Genomic DNA, 22,291 nt, shown 5'->3' on the forward strand with positions numbered 1-22,291 from the left:
CATAAAACTACCAGCAGCATTCTTCACAGAACTAGAACAAAACTATTTTAAACTTCATATGGAACCCAAATAGAGCCTGAATAGCCAAGGCAATTTGAAGCAAAAAGAATAAAGCTGGAGGCTTCACGTTACCCAGCTTCAAACTATATTACAGGGCTACAGTAACCAAAACAGCATGATACTGGTACAAAAACAGGCACATAGACCAATGGAACAAAGTGGAGAGCCAGGAATTAGGCTACACACCTATAACCATCTGATCTTCAATAAAGCTCACAAAAACAAGCAATGAAGACTCCCTTTTCAATCAGTGGTGCTGGGATAACTGGCTATCCATATGCAGAAGATTGAAGCTGGACCCCTTCCTTACACCATATACAAAAGTTAACTCAAGATGGATTAAAAACTTAAATGTAAAACACAAAACTATAAAAATCCTGGAAGACAAACTAGGCAATGCCATCCTGGACAAAGGAACTGGCAAAGATTTCATGACAAAGACACCAAAAGCAATTGCAACAAAAGCAAAAATTGACAAGTTGGATCTAATTAAAGAGCTTCTGCACAACAAAGAAACTATCAACAGAAACTATCAACTATCCTGTAGAATGGGAGAAAATATTTGCAAACTATGCGTCTATCAAAGATCTAATATCCAGCATATATATGGAACTTAAATTTTCAAGAAAGAAACAAGCAACCTCATTAAAAAGTGGGCAAAGGACATGAACAGAAACTTTCAAAAAAAGACATACATGTGGCCAAGAAGCATATGAAACAAAGCTCAGTATCGTTGATTGTAGAGAAATGCAAATCAAAACCACATTGAGATACCATCTCATGCCAGTCAGAATGGATATTATTAAAAAGTAAAAAAATAACAGATGCTGGTGAGGTTGTGGAGAAAAGGGAGCACTCATACACTGTTGGTGGGAGTGTAAATTAGTTCACCCATTGTGGAAAGCAGTATGGCAATTCCTCAAAGAGCCAAAAGCAGAACTACCATTCAACCCAGCATTCCCATTACTTGGAATATACCCAGAGGAGTATAAATCATTCTACCATAAAGACACGTGCACACAAATGTCCACTGCAGCACTGTTCACAATAGCAAAAACATGGAATCAACCCAAATGCCCATCAGTGACAGATCAGATAAAGAAAATGTGGTATGCATAAACCATGGAATACTATGTAGCCATAAAAAATGAGATCATATATTTTGTGGGAATATGGATAGGGCTAGAGACTATTATCCTTAGCAAACCAATGCAGGTACAGAAAACCAAATACTGCATGTTCTCACTTACAAGTGGTAGCTAAATGATGAGAACTAAAGAACACAAAGAAGGATACAACAGACACGGGGGTCTACTTGAGTGTGGAGAATGGGAAGCGGGAGAGACAGCTATTGGATACTGGGTTTAATACCTGGGTGATGAAAAAATCTGTATGACAAATCCCTGTGACCTAAGTTTACCTATGTAATAAATCTTCACATATACTTCTGAACCTAAAATTAAAGTTTTTTAAAATCAATATTTATTGTGGAGGGGTTTTCAACTTTATTAATTTTTTCCTTTATGATTGAGATCTTAATGACATGCTTTTTTAAGGTCATAACAGATGCTCTCTTGTATTTTTGAAAAGCTATAAAGTTTTGCTTTTAATATTTAGGTCTTTAATTAGCTGAAATTGATTTTTATGTTTGATATAGGATATAAATCCATACTGTAGTTTTTCTTTTTTATTGTTTGTTCCTGTGCCATTTATTGCAGTCTCCCTTTCACCACAGATTTTTCTAAAGTACTTTATTGAGATACAATTGGCATAGAAAAACTGTACACAATAAATATCCACAATTTGATAAATTAGGAAATAATTATACATCTATGAAACCATCAGCACAATCAAGACTATAAATATATCCATCCAACACCTTAAGTTATTTAATTAATTTTCTTAAAACTTAATATAAGACCTAACTTGTTAGCAAATTTTAAAAATATACAATACAGTATTGTTAACTATAAGTACTATCCTGTATAGTAGATCATCAGAGCTTAATCATTTTGCATAACTGAAGCTTTGTACCCTTTGAGTAACCCTTCCCCTTTTCTTTCTCCCTATCCCAGCACCTGGTAACCACCTTTCTATTCTCTGCATGTATGAATTTGATTATTTTAGATTTCTTATAAATGTGGGATAATACAATATTTGTTCTTCTGGTCAGGCTTATTTCACTTAGCATCATGTTCTCCAGGTCTATCTATGTTGTTGCAAATGGCAGAATTTCCATCCTTTTTAATGCTGAACAATATTTAATTGTATGTATATACTACAGTTTCTTTATCTGTCATCTGTCAACAAACACTAAGGTTGCTTCCATGTCTTGTCTATTGAGAATAATGCTATAAGGAACATAGAAGTCTAGATATCACTTTGAGATCCTGAGTTTAGTTTCTTTTGATCTGTATATACCTAAAAGTGGGATTGCTGGAACAGATGGTAGTTCTATTTTTAATTTTTTGAGAAGACACCGTACTGTTTTTCATAATGGCAGCACCAATTTGCATTCCCATAAACAGTATACAAGAGTTTTTTAGAGAAATGTCTATTCAGTCTCTTTGCCCAGTTTTAATTGGGTTGTTTACCTGATATATAGTTGTTTGATTTCCTTTTATGTTTTGGATATTTACCCCTTGTCCAATGTATGATTTGCAAATATTTTCTCTCATTTTGTACCATTTTCTTTTGTTGATTGTTGCCTTTGCTGTTTGATGTAATTTCAACTTTTTAGTTTGATGTAATTTCAGTTGTCAATGTTTGCTTTTGTTGCCTGTGCTTTTGGTAGTATGTTCAAGAAATCATTGTGTACTATGCAGCCATAAAAAATGATGAGTTCATGTCCTTTGTAGGGACATGGATGAAATTGGAAATCATCATTCTCAGTAAACTATCGCGAGGACAAAAAACCAAACACTGCATGTTCTCACTCATAGGTGGGAATTGAACAATGAGAACACATGGACACAGGAAGGGGAACATCACACTCTGGGGACTGTTGTGGGGTTGGGGGAGGGGGGAGGGATAGCATTAGGAGATATACCTAATGCTAAATGATGAGTTAATGGGTGCAGCACACCAGCATGGCACATGTATACATATGTAACTAACCTGCACATTGTGCACATGTACCCTAAAACTTAAAGTATAATAATAATAAAAAAGAAAAAAAAAGAAATCCATTGTGAAGTTCTCTGTTGATAAGCATTTCTTCTGTTTCCTTATAAGAGTTTGATGGTTTCAGGTTTTACATGTAAGTCTTTAATCCACTTTGAATTGATTTCTGTGTATGGTATAAGGGTCTAATTTCATTCTTTTTCATGTGAATATGCAGTTTTCCCAACACCATTTAATGAAGAGACTATCCCTTCCCCATTGTGTTCTTGGCATCCTTGTTGAAGATCAGTTAACTCTACATGCATGGGTTTATTTCTGGGTTCTTTACCCCGTTACATTTATCTATATATCTTTTTTCATGCCAGTACCAAACTATTTTGATTATTATAGCCTTGTAATATATTTTGAAATCAGGGGTATGATACCTCCAGCCTTTTTTCTTCTTGGTCAGAATCGTTTTGACTATTTGGGTTATTTGGTGGTTCCATATGAATTTTAGGAGTTTTTTCTTTCTATTTATGTAAAAAAAGGCACTGAGATTTTGACAGGATTTGCAATGAATCTGTAGATCACTTTTAGTAGCATGGACATTTTAACCATATTAATTTTTCCAATCCATGAATATGGGATGTCATATTATTTATTTGTGTTTAATTTCTTTTGTCAATGTTTTATAGTTTTTAATGTTCAAGTCTTTATTCTCTTTGGTTAAGTTTATTTATAAGTATTTTATTTCTTTTGATGCCATTGTAAGAATGTTTTCTTTAATTTCTTTTTCAGATAGTTCATTGCTAGTGTATAGCAATGCAACAGATTTTTGTATGTTGATTTTGTATCCTGCAACACTGTTGAATTTATTTGTTCTAACAGATTTTTGTGTTTGTGTGTGTGTATGTGTGGAGCCTTTAGTATTTTATCTACATAATATATCATCAGCAAACAGAGATTACTTTTTCTTTCTGATTTAGATACCTTTTCTTTTTCTTGCCTAATTGCTCTGGACCTTACTTCCAATACTGTCTTGAATAGAAATGGTGAGAGTGGACATCCCTTCCTTGTTCTGGAACATAGAAGGAATACTTACAGCTTTTTATCATTGCATATGGTATTAGCTGTGGGCTATTCACATATGATCTCTGTTGTGTTAATTTTCTCCTATACCTAGTTGTTCAGTATTTTTTATCATGAAAGGGTGTTGAACTTTGCCAGATGTTTTTCTGCATCTATTGATGATAACATAATTTTTATCCTTCATTCTGTTAATGTAGTGTATCACATTTATTGATTTGTATATGTTGAACCATCCTTGTATCTCAGAGATAAAGCCTACTTGATCATGGGGTGTGGTCCTTTTAATGTGTTGTTGAACTTGGCTTGGTAGACCAATGGAACAGAACAGAGGCCTCAGAAATAATACCACACGTCTACAACCATCTGATCTTTGACAAACCTGACAGAAACAAGCAATGAGGAAAGGATTCCCTATGTAATAAATGGTGTTGGGGAAACTGGCTAGCCATATGCAGAAAACTGAAACTGGACCCCTTCCTTACACCTTATGCAAAAATTAACTCAAGAAGGATTAAATATTTAAAGTAAGACCTATAACCATAAAATCCCTAGAAGAAAACCTAGGCAATACCATTCAGGACATAGGCATGGGCAACGAGTTCATGACTAAAACACCAAAAGCAATTGCAACAAAAGCCAAAATTGACTAATGGGATCTAATTAAACCAAAGAGCTTCTGCACAGCAAAAGAAACTATCACCAGAGTGAACAGGCAGCCTACAGAATGGGAGAAAATTTTTGCAATCTATCCATCTGACAAAGGGCTAATATCCAGAATCTACAAGGAATTTAAACAAATTTACAAGAAAAAATCAAACAACCCCATCAAAAAGTGGGCAAAGGATATGAACAGACACTTCTCACAGAAGATGTTTCTGTGGCCAACAAAAATATGAAAAAAAGCTCATCATCACTGGTGATTAGAGAAATGCAAATCAAAACCACAATGAGACACCATCTCACACCAGTTAGAATGATGATCATTAAAAAGTCAGGAAACAACAGATGCTGGAGAGGATGTGGAGAAATAGGAATGCTTTTGCATTGTTGGTGGGAGTGTAAATTAGTTCAACCATTGTGAAAGACAGTGTGGCAATTCCTCAAGGATCTAAATCTAGAAATACCATTTGACCTAGCAATCCCATTACTGGGTATATAACCTCAAAAGTATAAATCATACTACTATAAAGACACATGCACACATGTGTTTATTGCAGCATTATTCACAATAGCAAAGGCTTGGAACCAACCCAAATTCCCATTATGTTAGACTGGACAAAGAAGATGTGGCACATATACACCATGGAATATTATGCAGCCATAATAAAGAATGAGTTCATGCCCTTTGCAGGTACATGGATGAAGCTGGAAACCATCATTCTTAGCAAACTAACACAAGAACAGAAAACCAAACACCGCATGTTCTCACTCATAAGTGGGAGTTGAACAATGAGAACATATGGGCACAGGGAGGGGAACATCACACACCAGGGCCTGTCATGGGGTGACGGGTAAGGTGAAGAATAGCGTTAGGAGAAATACCTAATACAGATGACAGGTTGATGGATGCAGCAAACTACCATGGCACATGTATACCTATGTTACAAACCTGCACATTCTGTACATGTATCCCAGAACTTAAAGTATAATAATAAAAAAATAAATTTTTGAATAGTAATATATGTAATACTCTCTAATGAATATATTCTCAACTTCGTTGCCCTGTCTTTACTTCATCCTCTATCCACAGACAAAACTCTAATACAGTATCAACTAATTTCTAAGCTTTTTTTGAACACTCTGCTGTAGAAAAACATACGAATATACTGATCAGTCTCACTTCAGATGCATGCTCACCAATCTCATACTGTTTCAGCTTCTTCATTCCTGTAGTTCAGCAAGTGGGAGGGAGTGGCATCCAGTGGCTTTTTTGCTCCCGTTGTTCGGTGAGCAGGAAGGAATGGTGTGCAATGACTTTTTTGCTCCCATTGTTCAGCAAGTGGAATGAAGTGTTACAGCTCTTTTGTTCCTACCATCTGCAGCTTGGTGAATGGGAGGGTTACAGGTCTTTTGTTTCCACCACCCACAGCTTAGTGAGTTCTGAGTTCTTTTCTCGTGACCATGAGGAATAAGGTACGTGGACACCGGAGAGTGAGTAAGGCAGAAAATAATTTTGTTGAGCAACAGAAGGAAAGCTCTCAAGCTCTCAGTGGAGAGAGGGACCCTGAAAGTGGGTAGCCCTCTGTGAGGCTGAGTCTGGGGTTTTTATGGGCTTAAAATGGGGGCAGGCTGGTACTTGCTAATTGGTCCATAGGTGGTCTTGGAAAAAGCAGCATTCAATTAGTTAAAAGGCATCATACACCAGGAACCAATCGAGAGAGTGGGTGGGTTGGCGATAGAAGTTCTCACTCTGGTTGTGGACTCTATCCAGAACTGGCAGTTCAATTTTTCAGGCTTTAGGCTGTCTTTGGCTTGAAGGTTGGCTTTCACCGGGGACCTGTCCCTGTCCACCTAGGAATTTGTCTGTCTCCTGTCACTACAAATACTATATTTCCTCAGTCTATTTACTTTCCCTCTTTTTAATGACTATTTTAGATCTTTTCTCTGCCCGCACATTTCCCAACCCCTCATCCTCCATTCTCTTTCTCAGCTGATGGCCTTTCTGATTTTATTGAGAAAATGGAAGCAATATAAAGGGAGCTTCCAAATGATCCCGCCACCACATGTCCCTCCCTGCTCTCTGTTCAGTATGATCTCCTCCCTGCATGTTGTGTATATTCAGTCTTTATGTTTTTTTCACAAGATCTCATCACCTTTTACCTACCTCAGGGAATAGTTCCAAATTCCTCCTCCCTCTCCTCTCTTTGCAATTTTTCCTTTTCTAATAATTTTTTTCCAATTGGCATAAAATGTGTTATTTCCCCAATCTAAAACTGAAGTTTTCTTATGTGTCTTGATCATACTTATTCTTCATGCTAATTTTTCATTTCTCTGTATTTATCAATAAAGCAATAAATTATTTGAATTGATTTATAGTCAATCATGTTGTAATTTCTTTATACCATAATAGAGTAGTTCATTAATGCAGCATAAAAATTTATTTTCAAGTTATGTACATTTATGGATAAACTAGAGACATGTTTTAAATTTTAAAGTTTTATATCCTGTACCCTACTTAGCTAAGAAGTTCAGAGCATATTTCAGCATTAAGTTACATGTTTAAGTGCCAGGTAAATTTTCCATTCATAACCAAACACACCATCATGATTTTTGAAATTCTGAGGAGAAATATATCTCCTAGTTAAGTGGAAAATTGTGCAGTTGGTTTCTGGAGTACTTTCATTCTAAGCAGCTTTAAAAGGAAACATTTTGTGTAGAAGTCTAAATTTTCTTTCTTTATAGTAGTGCACATTCATTCATTGGTATTCTTATTAGACACTTGAATTGATTAATACTCCTACTAATTTTGTTCTAGATCTCAGCTTTGTATTTTTAGCCTGATTGACATTAGGATTGATCATTACCATACACAAGATACTTCATACTGATCTAGTATTTTCAACTCTATTAAATATAAGAAGAGAGAAAATCATGCTTGAATGCCTGGCCAAGAATGTGGTTGGGCATATTTGTGGCAGATGCTGGAGTCCATATAGACAGAAAAATGTCTGTAGGTCTGGGGCATTACAGCCTTTACTCAGGACTGTCCAGGGTCTGAAGTCTCCCAGTTCCTACCTCCAAAAGGGCATTTATTTCCTGGCTTATTAATGCTTAGTTGCAGTCTTGAAAAAAGAAAGATGCTTGAGCAGACAAATTTGTGGAAATAGTTTTGAAGTGCTTGCTTTTCCTTCGTGATATTTTTTTCTTCATTCTAAATAGATATTCTCTTTCTCAAGACTGCAGCCCTACTTTTTGTTGTGGGAAGTCAGGGACCCCAAATGGAGGGACCGGCTGAAGCCATGGCAGAAGAATATGGATTGTGAAGATTTAATGGACATTTATTAGTTCCCCAAATTAATACTTTTGTAATTTCTTATGCCTGTCTTTACTGCAATCTCTAAACATAAATTGTAAAGATTTCATGGACACTTATCACTTCCCCAGTCAATACCCTTGTGATTTCCTATGCTTGTCTTTGCTTTAATCTCTTAATCCTGTCAGCTGAGAAGGATGTGTATCATCTCAGGACCCTGTAATAATTGCGTTAACTACACAAATTGTACAGCATGTGTGTTTGAGCAATATGAAATGTGGGCACCCTGAAAAAAGAACAGAATAACAGCAATTGTTCAGGGAATACGAGAGATAACCTTAAACTCTGACCGCTAGTTAGCCGGGCAGAACAGAGCCATATTTCTCTTCTTTCAAAAGCAAATGGGAGAAATATCACTGAATTCTTTTTCTCAGCATGGAAAGTCCCTGAGAAAGAGAATGCGCACCTAGGGGTAGGTCTCTGAACTGGCCCTCCTGGGGCGTACCTGTCTCTTATGGTTGAGATTGCAGAGGTGAAATAAACTCCAGTCTCCCATAGCGCTCCCAGGCTTATTAGGAAGAGGAAATTCCCACCTAATAAATTTTGGTCAGACTGGTTGATCTCACCCTGTCTCCTGATAAGATGTTATCAATGACAGTGGTGCCCAAAACTTCATTAGCAATTTTAATTTCGCCTTGGTCCTGTGGTCCTGTGATCTCGCCCTGCCTCCACTTGCCTTGTGATATTCTATTACGCTGTTAAGTACTTGATGTCTGTCACCCACACCTATTCGTATACTCCCTCCCCTTTTGAAACTCCCTAATAAAAACTTGCTGGTTTTTGTGGCTCATGGGGCATCACGGATCCTACCAACGTGTGATGTCTCCCCCAGACACCCAGCTTTAAAATTTCTCTCTTTTGTACTCTGTCCCTTTATTTCTCAAGCCAGCCGACGCTTAGGAAAATAGAAAAGAACCTAAGTGATTATCGGGGCAGGTCCCCTGATAACTTTTGAATCTCACTCAGCTGCATTTGTCCAAGGTGATCACTACTCAGTCTTTTAAACATTGTATTTACTTGATGTCTATAGCACTAAATTCTGGGTTTCTTTTTCTCTCCTGAGTAGCCATTTCTCAGTCTCCTTTGCCAGTTTCTCTTCAGGCTCTGATTATTTAACATTGGTCTGCCTCAGGGCTAATCTCTTGGACCTCTTGTCTATCTACGAAGACAATTTCCTGCCTTCCTGGCTTTCAATCCTATGTAATTTCTGATAACTTACAAATTGTTATCTACTACGCATGCTCCTGAGCTTGACTTAACATCTGGCTATTCAATAAATTTCTCTAACTTAATATCTTTAAAATTAAGCTCCTAATTATTTCCCCAAGTTCCATCGCAGTCAAACCTATTCTCCATTTAAGTTAATGGTGATTTTTGCTTGGTCTTAGGAAAAAATTAAAAAAAAAAATAAAACTTTGCCTTTCTTTCTTAAAAAGGCTGCATTCTTTTATAGCTAATCCTGTTTGCTGTACCTTCAAAATACATTCCCTGTATTTGACCACTTCCTGTGGCCTTCACTGCTGTTACCCTGGCCTCCATTACCTCCTTGCCTGTATTACTGGCACAGGCTTTACGAGAATCACAGTTAAGGCTTGCTTTTGCTTTGAGGTTTCTGTACTTGTCCTCTCTGCCTGGAATATTTTTTTCTGGTAAACTCCATGGCTTATTCTCTTACTAGCTCAATTCTCTAAATGTTTCTTCTGAAAGCTGGAAGCATACTCCTACCTAACAGTATCTCCCTCCTCTTCACTGGTTTATTCTTCTCCAAAAGACTGATGTTCATTCAGTAGAGTATTACTTGCAAGAGGACAGAAATTTTTATTTTTTTATTGTATCTCTAGGGCCTAGAACACTGGCACATTGAATTTTCCTCTGCAATTTTTTGGCAGTCAGATGAAAATTGGAACTATGACCTACTGCATAATTCTCATTATCAGATATAAGGATACCTATAAATTCTTATACAAAATATTGCCTTACACTAAATTATACAATAAATATATAGGTTGAATCTTATAAAGTATACAAGTAAGCATACGAATAATGCCTTAATAGTTTTAAAAATAAATTCAGTTAATGTAATTTAATCTGTATGTTCTATATTAATAATTTTTAATGGTTAAGGGTATAATATGAAAGGTATGTATCCAAAAGACAGAAGTAATCTATATTTATTTAAAATAATTGGAAATAATTTTTATAAAAGTAGCAGTTTAATGTTATTAGCAATACATCACCTTCATGTAATATGCATAGCCACTCATGACTTATGACATTTAAATGTTTCACCTTGGTTCCAGCATTATGTATGGACAAAATTAAAAATATCTTTTCCCAGAATTCCTTGTATCATTGTGAATAAAGGTCATATCTGTAAAATGATGTTTATCATAGAATCATTTTAAAATTACTAAAAGTAGAAGTGAACACAATGGAAAAACAAATAAATACATTATATGAGAAATATTATTTAGCTATCAAACTTCATGTTTTCAAAGAATTTTGAGTTTGTGAAAGTTACAAAGTTTTATGAAAATGTCTATCTTTACAGCTACAGAATTCTAACTGGAATAAAATGCACCAAAATGTTAACTGTATTTCCTTCTAGTTATAAAATTATAGATAATTTTTATTTTATTCACTTACTTTTGTATAGTTTCCAGAATGTCTATAATGTTTTAACTTTGTAATAGCATCAGAAATAATAAATAAAATTTTTAAGGAATTAGTACTTCTTCCATAACTATGTTTTGCTTTTTGTTGATTGAGGACAAAGATTTGTATTTTGTTATACTTAAATATACCACTAGTATTTAACAATAATCATTTTTAATATCAGTGTACAATATATTGTAACCTAAATTTTGCTTTTTAGACAGTTTTTAAAGTACATATCAGGATTGTACTTTTTTTCCTCCCTACAGACAGCCTTTTGATTGATTATCAATTTACCTTCAGCTTATTACAGGAAGATGATCGCCACCATACTGCCATAAACTTTATAGCAAACCCAGAACAGGTGAGGAAAAATTGTTATCTTTTAAAGTATAATTATTGGACACAATTTTTTTTTCATATTTCATTTGATTTTACCTCTTCTCAGAATTATCACATTGTAGGGCCTTTGTAGAAACTACTAATCCTATTAATTTTTTCTCTCTTCGTGATTCAATAATTTGTGAATTTGATATTTCAGATTTTGCAAATAGCCCTATATTTTAAATTAAATATAATTTGTCACCTTATATATCTTGTGACAAAATTTATGCCTATAATTATACAAGCACGGACTGTTCTTATTTAAAAATAAAACTCGTTCGGGCGCAGTGGCTCATGCCTGTAATCCCAGCACTTTGGGAGGCCAAGGCGGGCAGATCATGATGCCCAGAGATCGAGACCATCCTGGCCAATGTGGTGAATCCCCATCTCTACTAAAAATACAAAAATTAGCTAGGCATGATGGTGCGCGCCTATAGTCCCAGCTACTGAGGAGGCTGAGGCAGGAGATTTGCTTGAACCCAGGAGGTGGAGGTTGCAGTGAGCCGAGATCACGCCACTGCACTCCAGCCTGGCGACAGAGTGAGACTCCATCTCAAAAAATAAATAAATAAATAAAACTAATGAATTCAAAGCATACTATATTAAATGTATTTTACTTTCCTTTATACCATTCCACAGTAATATGATTTGTCTTTTTTCTCAGTCAGTAGTTTATCTGAGTTATATGAATGATGGCTCCTTTAATGAAATTACCACATCACTGATATATTGTATAAGCTTTTGAAGTTTAAATATATGAAAGATTCATTGTGAATTTTAATTTCAATCCATCAATTCAGGTAAAGACTCTTAGGTTGTGTCGAAATAACACACATATTTTGCTATCCATCTGAGACTTTATTAATTTGAAAATCCTGAGAATGGAAATATCAACCATAGGGTTTATTCGGGTTGAATTTTAGTTCTTTTAAAACTAACACTCATACATTTGAAATGAAGTTATGTTAAATATATATATTATTATTATGAATTCATCCATATTGTTAAATGATATGTTAAATCCATATCATATATTTAATGGTTTTTCAAGTAGGTGAAATGTCTAAATATATTAATACTATGACATTTTGCAACTTCTTTCCTTTTAACGTAGTTCACTGGACTTGCTGACAACTAATATAATTTCTTAAATTTTTCTTTTCCAGTAAAATAGCATTCTGTCTCCCCCATCACCAAAAAAAAGAACAGTTCATTTTACATTTTATGTTACTCTTTATTCCCTAGACTTTATGAATGACTGTATTCTTGGGGAATACATTTAAAGTTTTGACTTTTAAATAATGATTTTAAAGATATTTTGTTTCAAATACAAGCCGTCCTTCACTGATTATCTGTTTCTACATAGATATATTAACAATCTCAGAAACTACATTTATCAATGTGATAAAGTTTTTATACCTGCATTATAATTACCATTGACTTTTTATTGTAGTAAAATAGACATAAAATAACATTTATTTAAATAATTTTAGGTATGTAATTCAATGGCATTAAGTATATTTACAGTGTGGTGCAATCATCACCATCATCCACATTTTCATTATCCCTAACAGAAACTCTGTGATTATTAAACAATAATGCCTCATTCCACACTTCTCTGCAGCCCCTGGTATCTTTATTCTACTCTCTGCCTGTATTAATTGGCTTACTCTAGGTACCTCATATAAATGTAATCATTTGTCCTTTTTTATCTGGCTTATTTCATTTAGCATAGTGTTTCCAAGGTTCATCCATGTTGTAGCATGTATCGGAGGTCATTCTTTACCTTTAGCTTCTTGATTAATAGTAATTCCAAACCTGTGGGGTTCTTTGAAGATCTAAGAAATTTGATGTAAGAGAGATATCTGACTCAAAATGTGAGAGTGAATAATATTCCTCCACAGTATTGTCCATAGTGTCATATACTTATGTCCAGATTAGCCACAATTCTAGTTTGCTTGTCTTTTTGCCATTTTCTCCTTCAATTTCCAGCAATCCCAAGTGCTTTCCAATGTCCCAGCTTTGTTTTACTTTCTACTATCTTGTCCAGTTGAAGCCAAGAAACCAGAAAAGTGTTCTGTGAAGCTTAACGATGCATAACTGTCATGAGAGGCATCGCTAAGAATTCTTATAATATCATTTTGTGTAACCCTCTTTAATTAAAGATATATTCACCTGGGAATAATCTCTGAAATTATTATGTATTATTGGCCAAGGCTTCTTATTCTATAAGAAAATAATAATAAAAAGTAGATAATTATTTATACATTTCCTACATTTTGAAAAACAGATTTAATTTTAACTCGCTATCCATCACTTCTAGCCAGTGCTTTCATGTGAACAATTTCTGAATAGGTTTCTGTATAACATTATTTTGCCAAACTTATCCATATCTAACAAACAATGTTCTAAATCACTGATTTTATCACTTACTGGAATAACTACAGTGTCACTTTTTCAGTACAGCTTTTTAAATCCTAAATGCTTTTTATATGGCTTTAGTTATGGTACCATATAATTCAGCATTGCCTAAACTTGGAATTGATAGAGAATGAACTAAAAATTCAAAAAGAGTTTTATAGGTTTTTTAAATATCAATTGGAAATTTTGTGTGACCTTTTAGCGACAACAGTTATGCTCATATTAATCTCATCCAGCATAAGGTACATGTAATTAAGAGACAATTTCAAAAGAAAATAAAGATTTAAGCCTCCTTAAGGGTACGCTGATTTCACCATCCTTTACTTTCATAAAAAAGTGACTTTTTGGATCCGTTTCATTAATAGTAAAAAAATCCACTCCTCAGAGCATGTCCTTTTTTTGAGTTCCCAGTCCTCTGGGTGAAGATGAAGATGAAGAAAGAGAAGAAAAAGAATATACCCTGTCACTATACCTAATAACGATAACACTACAATTATAAGCACTATGGGCTGAAACCAAAGTTTTTTTTCCAGAAATTATTTCATTTAACGCTCACAAGAGCTTCTTGAGGGAAGTAATTACATCCCCATTTTAGAGATTAGAAAAATGATTTTTGGAAAGGAAAAGTAATTTCCCCCTAATCAATCAGTCTGTACATTAAAGACCTGAAATTTCAATCTAAGGTTATCTGACTCTTCACTAATTCTTTTCATTGCTTCATGAAAATGATTTACTGTATATGAAACTGTTATTGGATTCAAGTCTGGTTACTTTATTATGATGACATAAATCAACATTTGCTACCAGATATCTACCTTTGATATCTGGATTTTCCTTAGGACTACATTGTGTATATTTGGAAGTATATTTTGTATACCACAACTGAACAACATAATCTATTGAATAGTCCCTGTCTGCATGCTGACATAAAAGTATTCTGCATTTATTGCTACAGTCAAAGAGTTGCTCAGTTATTTTTCTGGCCTTCCATTGAATTTATGCCCACTCTGTGTTCACTTATATCTTAAAAGAAATAGGAAAATCTCAATATGTTTGACAGTTTTGTGGCATGTACTGCAGAAGGGTTCTTAACAGCTTGTCAATAGAATTCAGTATTAATTGATAATCAATAGAAAATAAGAAGGAAGTTAACTTCCTTCTTATATTCATGGGCATTTATGAATATCACTATGATGCATAATATAATAGCCTTCTGATTTACTCTATGTATTTAAAATCCAAGGTTTTATTTTTCTTTGACTACTTCAAATTCTCAGATGCTTTCTCCACAATATTACTATGTACTACTCTAAAAATATGCATGACAATCACTCAACCTTATTATAACAAATTTTATTTTACATGCTCTTTCAAGATGATCATTCTTTTTGAAATCTTATTTGCCTCCTGGAAACTGTGACAATATCATTTGATGGATATGGAACACTGTTAAGAGTTCTTCATAGAGAATAAGCTGTTCTTCCATGTAGGGAAATCATTAAGAGTAGATGTTATTTGGAGGTATAAGATTGGGGCTTATACGTCTGTCAAATGGTATGGCCATCACACATCATCCAGCAGCCTTTGCTTTTTATGATGTTCCTTATTTCTCCTGCTATTCATCAGGGAAAGGCCATTTTCCTTGTCAGTTTTCCCCTAAGACTGTTATATCAGAAAAGGGGAATTTAGTTGCTTCCATATTTACTTTCTCCTAAGAGCCACTTAGAAAATTGGGAATATATTTTCTATTGGCTTACCTGCTTTATCATATTTAGAAAAATAGTAAAACGAAGGAATTAATATATTCTCTATCTCTCTTACTCCGTTTCACTAGCTAGATCTTAGCAGTATAGAATTTTCTACAAGTCTTTGTAGAGAATATTTAAAATAAAGCATAATACACTCAGTATCTGAAGCTAAACTTACCCATTATGACTATCATTCTTTGCCTTTCCACAGGAACAAATAGTTGTAAATATACCTACTTTCTGCTTCTTACGTCTTGGAGTAAGAAAATCACAAAAAACATTTAAAGAAATCTCTTAGTCATATTTCCCTGAAATTAAATGTAAAGAGTCTGTACTCCACTAATGAATGACAAGAAGCGGGTTGAATGGCATAAAATTAAATTCTCAGTGTTCCTCTCTATAACTGTGTAAACAATGTGATCTGCTGTTTTTTTGGAGTAGGTTCATCATTTTTACCTGAAAGTTTTAGGTTATGTTATTTTTCCCACTAGAAAATATGGGTTTAATAATAAAAATGTACACCTAAGAAGAAGTCTTTTAAAAAAATAATCTTATATTGTTATAAAATTGCTTGGGACTAATCCAAACCTGTTTCATTTAAACCTAGCAAAAAGAATCAAAATACAAATATCAAATTTAAACTAAGTTTAGTCTACAGCTAAGCAAAGAGAATCCAAATAAAAATATTAAATTACAGGAGCCTCTGGCTTACATACAAAAGACCAAATTATAATAGAGAAGATAAATGAGGAACTTGATATCTACCTTTGAATTTATTACACATTTTCTTCATTAAAATGTATAAATGGCATCTACATATATTCAGTTGAATATTTACAAAATCTATAGAGTTTAAGGAATAAAACAGACATAATTAAATCAGTAGACTAAATCATATATATCTAGTGTAATTTTCGTTTTTTAACCTTAATATTTTCTTTTCTGGTAGTCGAACAAAAATCTGGATATATCAATTAATGCATCAAACAACTTTAATCTCAACATTACGTGGTCTGTCGGTTCAACAGGTAAAAAAATGTTGATGTCATATCTCTTTTACATGTGTTCCTATCTGGAAGTTGTTCTAACATGATCTACTGTTAATTAAATGTTTGAAATTTTAAAAATGTTATATGACAGGATTATTTTGCTGTTACTGGTAAAAATAATAAGTAGAAAAATGAATAGAGCTTCATTATTTTGTTAACTTTCTCCTTTATTCAATTAAAATTAGATTGGTAACAAATATTATACACTAAATTAAATTTTTAAGTGGCAGTGTTATAAAATGTGATTTTAATTAAGATAAATTGCTTCTTTAATGACTAAAGAGACTGAAATTTCAATTATTTGATTCACTATTAAAACTATAAATTTAATTATTAACCTTAATATTTATATAAAACAATGAAATTCTTCTGTACATGCTGATTACAGTAAACATCTATTATTGTCAAGCTTAGAAAATATAACCCCTCTTGTCAGCTTCAGTGCTCAGAGGAGTTAAAAAACTGATACATAATATGTCTTTCATAATAAGGTTAATAAATTTAAATTACTGACTTAAAAAGTATATCTGAGAAGCTGTTCAGATTTTTATGTTGAATTATGAAATGTATTCTTACTTTAATTTTAGTTTTACTTTTATTCTAAAAATTTTATTGGTATCTATTTTCTGTATCAAAGGTATACTGTTGCATAAATGTGCTGGAAATTGTTTCTTTTTTATAGAAAATTTATGGATTCTTAGAAATTTATATTTGATTTCTGAAAATTAAATCATTATGCTATTTTAATATGTAGAATATTATGGATACATAGAATTCAAGAATTAAGAGCTCTTTTGCAATTCCCAAATTTATATATTACATTCAAAAAATGAAAATTCAGGCAAATAGGCATTTTGTTACTATTAGTGCCAAACATACAGTAAAATGTTGGCACTATGGGTTTCATTAAGGAAAAATTCGTAATAACTTGTACTGTTAATTTGATAGTTATTTCTGACCAGTAAGAAAACTGTAAGGGTTTAAAAATGTGTCTACAAAAATGTCTATAATACATTTCTAATCACTTTAGAACAATAATTTTAGTATGCAAGACATCACGTGTTCTTTCAGATTCCCAGACCAAATCTCAGAAATTTTTATTTATCAGATTTGGAGATGAAGTCATGGAATCTGCATTTAATAAATGTACACAAGGTGATTATGGAATAAGTGGTTAGTTAAAAATTCAATTACGCAGTATACTAATTCTAATTATTTTTACTATTGATTAAGGTGAAAGTATTGCTAAGATTGTTGGAAATGCTTTGTTCTATTTTATTAACTTCAGTAAATATTTATTCAGCACTCTATGTGTTTAACCAATTGAGCATTTAGCTCATGTTTTAAATTGTGGCCTCCACCCAATTTATTTAAAGCAGTGATGGTTCAATTTGTGGTAAGACAAATAAATTGATTTTTTCCCATTTTTTAATTGGATTGAGACACACGAAAATATGGTCTGATTTCTTTTTAAATGCTCTGTGGCATTGTAAACAGAATGAGCTCAGTTTCTAGAGCCACATATACCTGAGTTCCAACTGCTTAGTAGCTATAAACTTGGGGCAAATGCTTTAATCTTTCTGAGGCTTAGGTTGAAATCTGAAAAATGGAGGTGATAATACTTCTGGGATATTATTGGTTTTAAAAAAGAATATAAAGTCTCTAAGCTAGTGCCTAGTACATAGCACTTAATCAGTGGTAGCATTTTTAAAAATAATTTTTATACTAAATTTATTTCCATTATATTTATGGCAAACTTATTTTCCTTCATTCAAAATTATAAACAGTATATTTTGATAATTATTTTTATAAGAGCAATTATAAAAAACTATAATATGCATTTTTAAATTCATAAAGATATTTCCTAATATTAATTATTTAAATTATTTACATTTTAGCTGGAACAATATCTGGGGAAGAGACTTCTATAGTTTCCAAGAATAATATAAAGGAATACAGAGATAGTTTTTCCTATGAAAAATTTAACTTTAGAAGCAATCCTAACATTACATTCTATGTGTACGTCAGCAACTTTTCCTGGCCTATTAAAATACAGGTAAGTGTTAAGAGTATTTACTTCTAATGACCATAATATCATTAAGAAAAGAATGGTGCTTTTGTCCAAAGTGATGATATATGTACATTTCCTGACTTGACTAATACAAAAACATGCATTGACCTTTGATAAATAAAGGTCTGCGAATGTCTGTGATGATGAATTTCTCTGTAAAAACCCTCATGGAACCAACAAACTCTATACTTAAATTTTTCAGTGATTATTATGTACTAAGCAATGTAGCCAACTGAAATGTTTTGGTTTTCTGATTAATTATATACTTTAACTGAGGGTTAAATAAATACTGTTCTCATATAACCCCACTTGAAATTATTTTCCGTTTGAGTAGTCTTATTTTTACTTTAGCACATTCTGAAAATAATCTGATCTTTCATTAAAGATTTTGAGTTAGCAGTATTTCAGTTACCTCTTTAAGTAATTACCTCTCATCATTAATTTCCTAATCTGTACTACATGTGTGTTTTACATTTCATTTTTGTTATAGTTAGAGGTAGTCTACTTAAGACGTCAGATTTACTTCTAGGAAAGAATTGGAATATTCTTTCTATCTTATAGTCAAGGTTTGTGTTCTTAATTTATGTTTTCCTGAAAGAAAAGCCTATCTATTGGGATGCTGGGATTTGTTCATTCCTTTACAACTGATTGATTAGATTGAATTTACATTAGTTATTCGAATAGCTTATATATATCAATCCTTGTTCATGGCTTTTATGTTTTAAAATCTTTTAAAGATTTTCAGATCATCCCTTCCCTATATATTAGTAAATTATAGCATATGCTCTGTAACTAGAAATGTTTGCAGGTTTTATTTATATTAATTTCTATGTGATTTGTGGAAAGAATGAGTGATTTTTAAAATCATATGTTTACTGGAAAAAATTTTTCTTCTTATTTTTAAGGTTGATGTAACACTTAAATTATGGAAATTATTCAACTGTTCAGGAAATATGAGGATAAATTACTATTCAGTTCACTTTTGAGAATTAATTTGAGAAATTTACTTCTTCATTGTATAGTGATTGATTTAGATGCTGGTACTGTCAGAAAAATGCCATAAATATTTGTTTTTAAAATTTTAACATTAAGGATGTGTAACTTTATTTCCTAAGATTCATAGAGAAATATTTATCAAATTTCACTTCATTTATTCAATTATGATTGAAAGGGAAAAGGGTTCATCTATAGCACTTAGTAATTAGTTATTAAAATTGATATGATTATATTTTAAATTGCTTCCTATCCTTATTTCTTGTTTATATACTTTTGAAAAAAAATTACATAGTTATTTTAGAATGTTTTTGAATACTTAATGGTTAGGAATTAACTTTCTAAATTGGGTTTTTTTGAGAACTTACTCTTTTGGAAGCAAAATCAAAATTTGTGTAACGAGGTTGAAATACTCCACTCTCAAAATAATACAGTGTGGAAAATAATTGAGATGGACAAGATACGTAGGCCTAATTTCTCCTCTTTATTAAACTCATTATGCCTATGGAATATGTTATATTAAAGCATGGAAGTATTAATATATGTGTTTATTTATAAGACTAGAATAAACTTTAAATTATAATATTATACAAAACACAGTAAAATTATTTTAATTATGATTTTAAATACTGGCAGCCATCATTGTATTCCCTTTCAATAAGTTCATAAGTTTTTTAGATTCCACCTATAAGTGATATCATGCAATATTTGTCTTTTTGTGACTGACTTGTTTATTTAGCATCATGTCCTTCAGTTTCTTCTATGTTGTCACAAATAGCAAGATTTCCTGCTTTTTAAAGGCTTAATAATATTCCATTGTTATGTGTGTGTATGTACGTATATAAATATATACATATTATGAATATGAAACATATAGATATAAATCACGATTTCTTTATGCTTTCATCTATCCATGGACACAGCTTGCTTCTGTATCTTGGCTATTGGAAATAACGTTGTAAAGAATGTGAGAGTGCAGCTGTATCTCTGAGATACTGATTTCACTTGCTTTGAATATATCCCCAGTGGTGGGATTGCTGGATCATTGGTAGTTTTATTTTTAATTTTTGGGGGAATCTTCATACGGCTTTACATGATGGCTATACCAGTTTACATTCCACCAATTGTGTGTAAGAATTTCCCTTGCTCCACATCCATTCTAACACTTGTTATCTTTTGTATTTTTGATAATGGCCATCATAACAGCTATGAGGTGATATCTTATTGTGGTTTTGATTTGCATTTATTTGATGATTAGCAATGCTGAGCACCATTTCATATACCTATTGGTCATTTGTGTGTCTTCTGTGGAGAAATGTATAATCAGGTCCTTTGCCCATTGTTTCCATTGAGTTTTTGTTTTCTTGCTATTGCGTTTCATGAGTTCCTTACATATTTTGGATATTAACTTCTTATTGAATAGATCATTTGCAAATTTATTTTCTATTCTGTAGGTTGCCTTTTCAGTTTGTTGATTGTTTCCTTTGCTGTGCCAGGAAGCTTTTTTTAGTTTGATGCAGTCCCACTTGTTTATTTTTGCTTTTGTTGCCTGAACTTTTGGTATTATATCCAAAAAAATCATTGATAAAGCCAATGTCAAGGAGCTTAGTCCCTTTATTCTGTTTAGGATTTTTATAATTACAGGTCTTATATTTACATCTTTAATCCATTTTGAGTTGATTTTTGTGTATGGTATAAAGTAAGAATCCAATTTCATCTTCTGCATATTGATATCCCAGTGTTACCAATACCATTTATTGAAGAGACTGTGTTTCCTTTACTATTTATTCCTGGCACTGAGTCAAAGATCAGTTGACGCTGTCTATGGGTTTATTTCTAGCCTCTCTATTCTGCTCCATTGGTATTAGTGTATTTTTATGCCAGCAACTTCCTGTTTTGATTACTATAGATTCATAATATAGTTTGAAATCAGTAAGTATGATGCCTCCAGCTTTGTTCTTCTTTTATAAAATTTCTTTGACTATTTGCAGTCTTTTGTGGTTCCTTTTGAATTTAAAAATTTTTTTTTCTATATCTGTGAAAAATGTAATTGGAATTTTGAAAGCAATTGTATTGACTCTGTAGAACACTTTGGGTAGTGTGGCCATTTAAACAATGTTAATTCTTCCAATCAATGAACATAGGATATTTTCCATTTATTATTGATGTTTTGAATTTCTTTCATCAATGCTTTATAATTTTCAGTGTACAGGCCTTTCATTTCCTTGGTTAAACTTATTCTTAAGTATTTTATTCTTTTTGATGCTCCAGTAAATATGATTTGTTTACTTAACTTCTGATTTGGAGAGTTCATTGTTAATGTATAGAATTCAACTGATTTTTGTATGTTGGTTTTGTATCCTGCAACTTGACTGAGTTTTTTATTCTTTTTAACAGTTTATTGGTGGACTGTCTAGGGTTTCTTGTGTATGAGAACATGTCATCTGCAAACAGAGACAGGTTTTCTTCTTCTTTTCCAATTTGGATGCCTTTTACTTTTCCTTGTCTAATTGCTTTTTCTAGGACTACCAGTCCTATGTTGAATAGAAGTAGTGAAACTGGGCATTTTTGTTTCTTTGCTAAAATTAGAGGAAAAACCTTCTGCATCTTGCCATTGTGTAGGATGTTAGCTATTGGCTTGTTGTATGTGTTCTTTATTGTGTTGAGGTACATTCCGCTTAAA

At 32.7% G+C, this 22,291-nt stretch overlaps 1 protein-coding gene across 10 annotated transcripts in view; it reads left to right on the forward strand.

Annotated features, from left to right (window-relative positions):
- The window catches only part of ATRNL1 (attractin like 1), an 855,635-nt gene that overhangs the window by 357,365 nt on the left and 475,979 nt on the right, over positions 1-22,291 (forward strand). For 9 of the 10 annotated variants that reach the window (NM_207303.4, XM_011539587.2, XM_011539588.3 and 6 more), the window contains 3 exons: positions 11,212-11,306; positions 16,445-16,523; positions 18,443-18,600. In NM_207303.4, coding sequence (NP_997186.1) covers positions 11,212-11,306; positions 16,445-16,523; positions 18,443-18,600 — 332 coding nt within the window. Of the gene's footprint in view, positions 1-11,211; positions 11,307-16,444; positions 16,524-18,442; positions 18,601-22,291 lie in introns of those variants that run through there. The other variant, XM_047424988.1, reaches the window with a different exon arrangement.

The sequence above is a fragment of the Homo sapiens genome, chromosome 10 (assembly GCF_000001405.40).
Source record: "Homo sapiens chromosome 10, GRCh38.p14 Primary Assembly".
Taxonomy (NCBI): domain Eukaryota; kingdom Metazoa; phylum Chordata; class Mammalia; order Primates; family Hominidae; genus Homo; species Homo sapiens.